Here is a 10,624-nt window from a genome sequence, read left to right on the forward strand (position 1 = left end):
CTTGGCTCAAGCAAACTTTGAAGCAGCGCCCTTCACAGATGGGGGAGTCTCAAAGGGGATATCCTTGCAGTATGGAAAAACTGCCCAGTGGTTAATGCCTAGGTGATCCATGAAACATACCTCTTAGTGCTGCTGAACAGCCACTCTGATTTGATGTCTCTTTTGGCCAAGATACAGAGTAGAGTTCCCCAGTCCGTGGATGCTAGTCCCACCTCCTGCCTTTGTCTCCGACTGTCCTCATGAATTTCACCCGCCCCCATCCCGCCCCGCCACCCCCGGCCCCCAGGCACTTGCAATGCTTTCCATGGATTGAAGCAGGTACAGGGAACCCAAGATGGTGGGAAAGCTGGTTGTCCACCTTGATCTAACGTTTTCCAGTGTAGTAACCATGAGTTGAGGGAAATTTTCCATATGCTTGGTGCCTGGCAAATCGAGGGAAGGGCATCATGGATATAAAAGTCAAATTCTCTTAGTGTCTACATGGAGTTCTTCACTTCTGTGTGGCCCCAGGAACTGTCTCATCTTTATATTTCAGTTCTGGAATATGGATGGTAATAATCTCAGTGCTATATGTTTATTTTTAATTTATTTTATTTAATTTTTTGGAGACAGAGTCTCACTCAGTCACCCAGGTTGGAGTGCAGTGTCATGATCTCGTCTCACTGCAACCTCTGCCTCCTGGGTTCAAGCAATTCTCATGCCTCAGCATTCCAAGTAGCTGGGATTACAAGTATGTGTCACCACTCCCAGCTAATTTTTTTGTATTTTTAGTACAGGGTTTCACCATGTTGGCCAGGCTGGTCTTGAACTCCTGGCCTCAAGTGATCTACCCCCTTGGCCTCCCAAAGTGCTGGGATTACAGGCGTAAGCCACTGTGCTCAGCCTCAGTGTTATATATTTTAGCTTTCAGTAGGAGGAAGTGAAGTCACCTTGCTTCTGCTCACCATTTTAGTGAAGTGACATCACCTACTCACGCTCTCTTGAGGACAACTTGCACTAATTTGTATCTATTACAATACATATATTTATTTTATTTCATTATAGAATGGTAAAAACAAGTAGTACAATTGGGATAAGAACTCAGGCCTCACTTTGCATTTTAACTGTATTGTAAAATATGTTTTTTTACTTACTATGATGTTTATTTTTGTTTTGCTTTTTATCTATGTTGTCCACAAAAAAAGACACAAGGCATTTTAAATCAGATTTTAAATAAGTAGTGGTTCGTTCCCAAAGTGGACTCAATGAGCCTTAAATTTGGTGTATTTAGGCTGGATGCAGTGGCTCACACCTGTAGTCCCAGCAATTTAGGAGGCCGAGGCGGGCAGATCACTTGAGGCCAGGAATTCAAGACCAGCCTGGCCAACATGGTGAAACCCCGTCTCTACTAAAAATACAAAAAAAGTAGCTGGGGTGGTGGTAGGTGCCTGTAATCCCAGCTACTCAGGAGGCTGAGGCAAGAGAATCGCTTGAACCCGGGAGGTGGAGGTTGCAATGAGCCAAGATCACGCCATTACACTCCAGCCTGGGTGACAAAAGCTAAACTCCATCTCAAAAAAAAAAAAAAGAGGGCTCTCAAGCTGCCAGGGCTCTCACCTCCACTTATATCTCTGGCCAGAAGCTAGCTACATGGCAACACTAGCTCAAAGGGGTCTGGGAGGTATTTATCTGTATGGTCCCATGCCCAGCTAAAAATTCTATTTGTCTGGAAGAAGATCTTAGGGAATGACAAGAAGTCTGCCATAGATGTTTAATATGTTTCTTCTTCCTGGATAACAGCAGAACATAAACAGAGCTATGCCAAGACTAAGCTCTAAAATCCTACAATAGTTATTTAAGATAAAAAGAAAACTTTCAGGGAATAGCTCTACCTTCTGTTTGCCACATGCTACTTGCACCTTGTTAATAGCTTGTATGTTACAAAGTCTATTCCTTTGTTTCTCTGTTTAGCTTGATGAAAACTTTCTTCACAGATTTAATTGTGGCATTTTCTGAATTGAGATTAGCAATCTGTTTCAAGCTCCATATAAAGGGAAAAATTAATTTACATCTGTTTTTTCATCTATGCTAAGAGTCTCAGAAGTGAGTTTGCAATATTAGAAAAACCAAAAAGTAATTGTCGTAAGAGAGAAATGTAATAGTTTTTCCTCACTGACTGCAAGGCTCCTGGCTGAGACCCCTACAACAAAAGACAGATTAAAAAGAGAAAAGCATATAAATGTATTTAACTTTTACATCAATTACACAAGAGCCTTCAGAAATGAACACCCAGGCTGGGTGATGTGGCTCAGGCCTGTAATCTCAGCACTTTGGGAAGCTGAGGCGGGTGGATCACTTGAGGCCAGAAGTTCAAGACCAGCCTGGCCAACATGGTGAAACCCCATCTCTACAAAAAATACAAAAAAAAAAATTTAGCCAGGTGTGGTGACATGCATCTGTAGTCCCAGCTACTTGGGAGGCTGAGGCAGAGAACTGCTTAAACCCAGGAGGAAGAGGTTGCAGTAAGCTGAGATTGTGCCACTGCACTCCAGCCTGGGCAAAAGAGTGAGGCTCTGCCTCAAAAAAAAAAAAAAAAAAAAGAAAGAAAAGAAAAAAACACCCAAAGAAATCGGGAAATCTGTGTAATTTTATGGACTGTTGGGCAGAGGTATGATTGGAGGACGAAAGGGACAAAAGGGTATGGTAATAAACTGGGGGGAACTTAGCAAAGCCTGTATATTCAGATTCTTTTCTTCTCTGTATAGCTTTATTCCTTTCCTCTGGATATATGGAAGACCCTTTTGGAATGAGGGTCTTATGGTCTGCTTTAGAGGAAGTTCAGATAATTTATTTTATGGCCTGCTTCAAGGAAGAAAGATGAGAGACAGTCAAAGAGGCCTTCCTGCTTCAGCTGTTTTCTCAAATGCCAAGGTGCCATATTTTGGGGTAGTGTGTTCTGAACCCTGTCATTGTTATTGCATTATCTTAGAAGGCCTTAGGTTTGGGATCCACTCTCTGTTAGCTAAGAGCAGGCCATTATAGGATCAACTAAATTACCAAAGAAAGTATATGAATCTAAATTTAAATGAGATTGAATTGATCCTTTACATATTATTAATCTAACTTTATATTTGAATTTATTGTGCAAAATAATTGGCTGAATTAGCATTTGTTTGTGAAAATACCTTATTTTAAAATAGAAAAAGTTATAAAGTTTTTGTATGAAAAATTAAACCAGTGCTCACTAATGAAGAGTGATTTAGTCTTTCAGTAAACTCAAAGTTAAAGCAGAATCTTCTAGTGTAAAGTATTTTCAGAGGACAAAATCAAAGCAGAGATGTAAAATATTTTATTATTGCAATATTTCAAAGTCTGATCCTTTCTTAGGCTGCTTTTAATTTTTTTTCCTCTTCCCTCAAGTTTTTTCCAGCACTTCCTGTTATAGTAGGAGCTTTAGGAAGGTTTCTTACACCTCATTAATGAAGATTTTGAAGCAGTTTTTGCTCTGGATCTTCTTGTTCATCTCTCTGACATCAGGAGTTAGAGTACAACTTGATAAAAAAAATCTGAGATGGAAAGACACAGGCTTTTGAGGGTTTTTTGAAAGTGCTTCTAGGATGGCTAGAAGCATTTTAATTAGAGCTATTATGTCTTATGCTCAGAATACAAAATATACTTATTTATGTTGAAACTGTTATCATGGCGCACTGAGCCATTAATACATTACTATTCTAAAATAAAAAATTAAATGTGAACTATATAACTGATCAGTCTTCAGTTGCTGTGAGGAATAAAAACAAACATTAATAATTCACTTACTGTTAGAGCATTTCTACTTTTAAAAGGTGCAGTACTCTTTATTTTTAATTATTTAATTTAAAATGCTATATGACATGAGCATTTTAAATGCTCAAAAAATCAGACTGGTATCAAGTGAAAAGTAAAATTGCCTTTCCCCTTCTCTAACATTATTACCCTGAATTTTAATAGGTATTTCCAAAGTGTCTTCTAAAAGGTTTGTACTAATTTACCTTTCAATGTTCTTAAACATAGTTAATAACAAATGTACTTAATAAGTTGTTATTCATTTGCTTAAAGCATTTCCATATTTATTGGTTATTAATCTAATTTAGTTTCACAGCCCTCCTATGAGATCAAGATATTAATCTCCCAGTTTTATAAACTTAAAAACAAAAATAAAGAGACTTTAAGGTGCTCAACAGTAATTTCATGGTGTGCTAGGAATTGAAATTAAACTTCCCATCTTGTGTAACATTATCTGGTTAATGGCCTATACTTCTGGGCTAATTGGTAAAAAAGAAAAAAAAGAAAAGATTTGAATATTGAGAATCTGGTGGGCATCAAATATCAGCTACTATTCAGGTCATCTAATTTGTTCTCTGACTTAGAATAAAAGTCACATTTATGATCAATTTGGTATCCTTTCTGTATATGTGTCAACTGGGACTCATTAGGCAACAGTTAGGAAGACAAATAAAAGGCATAGCACACTGGAAACAATGCAGTTCCTGTATTTTAGAGATTCTGGGAAACGCTTTATCTTGAGTTTCATATCTCATCACAGAATCTTCATGGTACCTGGGTAGCCATTGTGTCCAGTTGTGCATTATTACTTAAGAACCAAAAAGCACCTCTGGTGTAGACAGTTCTGACTCTGGAAAGTTTAGTCCTGACCTCAACAATGACAGTTACTCTACAGAGTATCCAGAAGCTAGATGAAACTTATATGAGGAATTAAAGTTTTAGCTCTGCTATGCCATAAAAGTCTGATGGCCAAAATGTCTCTCCTAATGTCCCTATGGTATCTAATCATGCCCACAGTTCTCACTCAAATGTTTTAAAAGAATCTCCATCCCTGCTACTACTACCTCTTATGTTCGCACTTGGCCTTCATGAGACTGACTTGGCATAGGGATTTATAGTAGAGAGACACCTTCGAGTAAGAAAAATGGATGTCCTCCTCTCTGTTGAACTAAATAATAACTCTATTCTAGTAACAGCTATAGACCCAACTTATCAAATTCCCATTAAAGTTAATTCTCAAGGTCTAAACCTACAGGACCAAAATTGTATTTATTCAACTGAAGTTCATAGTTTCCACAAAGTTGTCTTTGGATGAGAAGTGAAAATGTTAGGTAAACATCCACAAGGCTAAAAACAAACATGGTTATTTAGGGAATATACATATAACAGTCATAAAAATTCACTTTGAAACTGAAAGTTGAGATCATGTAGGCAAAGTCTCTACATCTTATGAATATGTAAAAAGCAAGAAAGAGACTGAATATAGAGGCTGAGCTTTCATACCAATTTTATTTACCCCATAAAATTTCATCTCTTGTCCAAAGCTCTGTATTATCTCATTTTCATGCCTCTCAGTCACTACTATTAAATCCTAATGGTTTCTGCAGGATTGGATTGGGCTGGATTCAAGGTATCTCATGCAGATTTGGCTTTTCTTTGTTTGACTGTAAATTCGGACAGGAAGTGGTTTTGCTGGTAGATCTAGGAATACAGTCAGAATAGACTGATGTGTGAATCAGCAGACGGAAACTTGACCTTGTGTAGATGAGCTAGGAAAAAATTAAAACATCACTAGCCTAATATCTAGACTTCATCTCTATTTTCAGTTTAATTGCAATTTAACCCTGTCTTGTATAGCTCTGGAGTGACACAGAGCAGGTCTGGAATTCCAGCTCTGTCAATTTATGAAGGAACTTGGGCAAGTTATCTACCCTCTCTGAATTCCAGTTTACTCATCTGAAAAATGAGGATGAGATGACTGTTGTGGGGATTATAGATTGAGTTTGTATGTCTGACACATGACAGTAGCTAAAGAACTAGTCAGATAATGGTAAACATTAACAAGCTTCCAGATGAAATGTGAGTGAGACTTTTATTTTATTTTTGAGACGGAGTTTCACACATGTTGTCCAGGCTGGAGTGCAATGGCGCAATCTCGGCTCACTGCAACCTCCGCCTCCTGGGTTCAAGCGATTCTCCTGCCTCAGCCTCCCGAGTAGCTGGGATTACAGGCACCTGCCACCACACCTGGCTAATTTTTTGTATTTTAATAGTGATGGGGTTTCACCATGTTGGCCAGGCTAGTCTCGAACTTCTGACCTCAGGTGATCCAACCGCCTCAGCCTCCAAAAGTGCTGGGATTACAGGCATGAGCCACCGTGCCCGGCTAAAATGTGAGACATTTTAATCAACAGTCCCTCTTATTAAACTCCTCCAACTGTTCTGGAACCATAGGAACATGTAAAACTAGTCTAAAGTTTATAAAGAGAAGAAACTGGAAAGTTCACTAATTCGTTCAACAAATGTAAGCATAGAGAAGGATGCAAAGCTGCCAGACTATGAGGTAAGTCATGTATATACATCACTATATTAGAGGGTAGAACAAGATTTGTGCCACAAGAGAAATTCAGTTAACATCCTATGGAGCTTTGAGAAAGAAAATATTTTTTCAGCTGAATTATAGAAAATATTTTATGGAAAAGGTAAGTTTAAGCAGAGTGTTAATAAGTAAACAGGCAGACTGCATATATGATATACTAATTCAATTTAACCAAAGCATGGAGTGAATGAAGAAGTGAAAAGTGAGATAGACAAAATGTAGATTTGGCCCAGACTATAGAAGCATTGAAAGGCCAAGCTGCAGCATTTGAGACTTTTGAGCAGAGGAATGATATGATCGATGCAATAGTTTTCCTGAGAGAAAATTCATCTGGAAGCTTTGTGAAAGAAAGACTGAAGGGAAGAGATACCAAATCCAATTAGGAGATTGCATAGTGATACATGTGGAAGATTATGAGGTGCTGATCTGAGGTAAGAGCAATAGAATTAGAGGAGAAGGAGTGGATTCAAGAGTTGGGGGAATCAGAGTATGTGAGGATTAGCAAATATGCTGTTAATTACTAACAAAAGGAGAGTAAAGTATAGATATTTCTAGCTTCTTATTTTTGTCTTAACCACAAAAATGTATGTTCTGATTCTGCCTTTATTTTCATTAGAATAATGGACTATTTTTAAGCTTTATGTCAATTTAAGTGTTTAATAAACATGGGATGTTTGATAACCAATTTTATAATCTGCCAATATTACTTCATTAGGAATTAAAAGCTAATTCCATGTTTGACTTCTGTTTTATTCTTCCTAAAAGTTCTGAACTGTTATCATTTCTAGAAGATGGTTCTCAATCCTGTCTACTCATTGGAATCCCGTGGAAAGCACTTTAAAAATTACAATATCTGAACTAATGAATCAGAATCTCTGGGAATTGGACTTGGGCATCAGTATTTTCATTTTAATCTTCCCAGTGATTTCAAGGTACAGCTTCAGTTGAGAATGACTGACCTTGAATAAGATATATTTTAGTCTCTAAACAAGAACTCCTGTTCATGTTGCTCTCTATCCATTCATTCTAAAACTCACCGAGCACACTCCTGGTTGTCATTCTTATGTCTTAACTGAGGGTCAGGTCCCCAGGATTCCTTTATGTTCAGCATTCCTTAATGGTCTTTCCCCACTCCATGCCACTTTATCTTGGAAAAGTGAATAATCAAATTCCTATAAAAATGAGAAAATCAATCTGAACATAAAGTAGACATCACTGATAGCAGAGAGCAAAGACAGAAAAAACATGGGTCCCTTGGTGAAATAAACTGTTACATCAATCAATCCAGAAGACTTGTCTACCACTGGATTTTAGGTTATGAGAGCCAAAAAAATTTCCTTATCATTCAAGCCACTTTGAGTTGGAGTTTCTGTCACAGCCAAAGCATATCATATTATATCATCAGTCTTTTATGCACTTGAAATAAATGGTTTTAGATCTTGTCTGTTGATTCTAGACTTCAGAAATGACAAAGTGAAAATGTGAAATGTGACATCTTTTATAGGGTATCCAGCCACAATATTCTTGTCTTAGTATAGATATGTGGGCTGTACATGCTGCACAGCTGTGAAAACTTCGACTTTGAAATCTGACACATTTTCAGGCTGTACTCTAACCATTTGGCTCTGTTCTTTCATTTCATTGTTAGCAGCACAAACTATACTACGTGGAATTTTCTTATGGTGTTAGTTCAATGAATGTTCAAAGAAGAAAATAATTCCAAGGTCTAGACTCTGAATATGCTCTTGAAATTTAATCACACCTGTAATATTACCAGAAACTACTATCATCTATTAATTTTTATGTGTGTTGAAAATATACAAAAAATCCATTTCTTCAAAAGATGCCTCTTGAAGTACAGAAGAGTGTGAAAAAAAAGGCAATGTAAGAATCTACCTTTCTATTTTATTATATACGTATCAGGAAACTCTATAAGGAAGAAGTTATTAACAATGGTTAGAAGAAGTGGGGGGACTAGGTAAATGAGGATGTTGTGGGGAGACATGTCACTGTGTACCTTTTAACACCTTTCTGGTCTTTGAAATAATGTGATAATATTACCTATACACAATTTTAATTAAAATGGATCCTAAATTAAAATTGATACCTGATCCCTAAATGAGTAAAAACCATTTATGCCTTTTTGTTGTGGTTCACACAATTCCAAGTCTAAAATGCTAAAATACTATCCCCTTCCTTCTTCAACAAGATAAAAATCCTGTTCTTGTGCTCAGTTCAATTGCCACTTCCTTAGTTAATCTTATTCCAATGCCGTCAGGAGGAACTCTTTCCACCTTGCTCCCATGACATCACTTCAATAAAAAGTAAACTCAATCTTAAAATTCTAAAATATACATTTTACCAGAAGTACTCCCAAATTAACTGATTATTCTGACATTGAGAACCCACCAACATAAGAAACCCTATCATCTCTAGTCAATGCCATATTAGACTTTCAGCTAAAACAATACTAAATGAGAAATTTAAAATTTAAAACATAAAACTTCCTTTGTGGACTGCTCTTCTTGTTGATCCCATTCTATTAGGACATCCAAAACATTAAGCAAGCTCACAAATGACCGGTAAGCCCCACAGAGAAAGCATCAAATATCCAATATAGAGTAAAAATAATCAAAGTAAATAAAGGGAGGGAGACATGGTTAAATGTGAGAAACAGAAGAAGGCTGAGTTGGTATTCTAGCCCAGAACATCTGAAGAATAAGCACAACTCACAAACCCTACAACTAACAAGTGGCGTATCAATACTGGTTCGTTATAGCTCAGTAAAGGTTGTTTGCATAATTGTCTATCAACTTGACTCATCTGTCATTTCAAACAAGATCTTGTTCTCAACTTTCCCATCTCTAGGAATAGACAGAGGAATCCAATCCTAATAACAATAATAATTCCAGCTAGCATTTGTTAATTGTTTATTACATGCATCTCCTACCAAGTATATATTCCAGGCTCAAGCTGAGCATTTAAGAAACACTTGCAGACCCAACCAGATTTATCAAAAAGTCAATGAGCAGATCATGTAATAAACCTAATTTTTAAAAATTTATCCTTTGAATAGATTTATAAATCATAATGCAGCAACACACTATAATGGTATACAGCTGCTAAAAATAACTATGACAACTATGCTAAAACATGAAAGAACAGGTAGTACATAAAGTTAAATCTATAAAAGCAGAATGTCAAATGGTATGTAAACTCATTAAAATTATGTAAAAACATGTGTATATGGATGAGGTTCAGAAGATAATATACAAATTTTAACATGGTTGTGTTAGAAGAGTGGGATTACAGATGATCATTTTTTCCTTTTCTCAAAATTTCTTTCAATGTTTTTGCTAGCCCATGTATCATGTTAACCTACATTGGTCAGCAAATAGGTTCAGCTGCATAAGATCTAACATATTGGCAAATTAAAAGATTACAGTGTATTTCTCTCTCATATATATCTCCAAATATATAAGCCATGCAGAGCTGATACAGTGGTTCTACTATGTCAAACCTCAAGTTCCTATCTTTTTATTTTGCCATCCCTTCTTCTGAGTGGTCTCAGATGGCTCATGATCCTGTTTGTATTCCAGCCAGTGAGAAGAGGGAAAGGGCAAGAGGCAAGCACACTCTATTCCTCTAGAAGCACAGTGCCTGATACACAAGAAGACAAAAATATTAAATGAATGAATGAATGATCAACTCTACAGTAACTCTAGTTTTGAAAGACCCAAGCAGGGAAATCCTATAATAAAAGATATTTCACATTACTAGACATGGGCCTCTCATGTCTTCTCATTGACCTTAGAAATATCAGGAGTGTGGAGAGTAAGATGCTTTGCAAGCTAGTGGGAAAATATTCTATTGTTATTTATACCCATTTAATCTTGGAGGACTGACTCAAGCTATAGGCAGATGCCTCACAATAGGCACATGCATTTCACTCAGCTCCACTAAACCACTTCATCCAATCTCCTGGCCAGCTAATCTTCCTATAACCTTCTGAGTTCAAGGTCATAGCTGGTGGTGTTAACAGAAATCATCCCAACTGGGTCTGTAATAATAAATGTCAAAAAGACTTGTAGGCAAATTGTTATTTCCCTTGCTTCTAGCTTGAGGCACGTACAATATCTACTGAATTCAGGGATACATCTTAGGGAGCATCTGTGGGTGAGGAGAATAAAAGTGCTGCTACCCAAAAGGGAGATCTTGTTT

Source organism: Homo sapiens, chromosome 7, assembly GCF_000001405.40.
Source record: "Homo sapiens chromosome 7, GRCh38.p14 Primary Assembly".
Classification (NCBI taxonomy): Eukaryota; Metazoa; Chordata; class Mammalia; order Primates; family Hominidae; genus Homo; species Homo sapiens.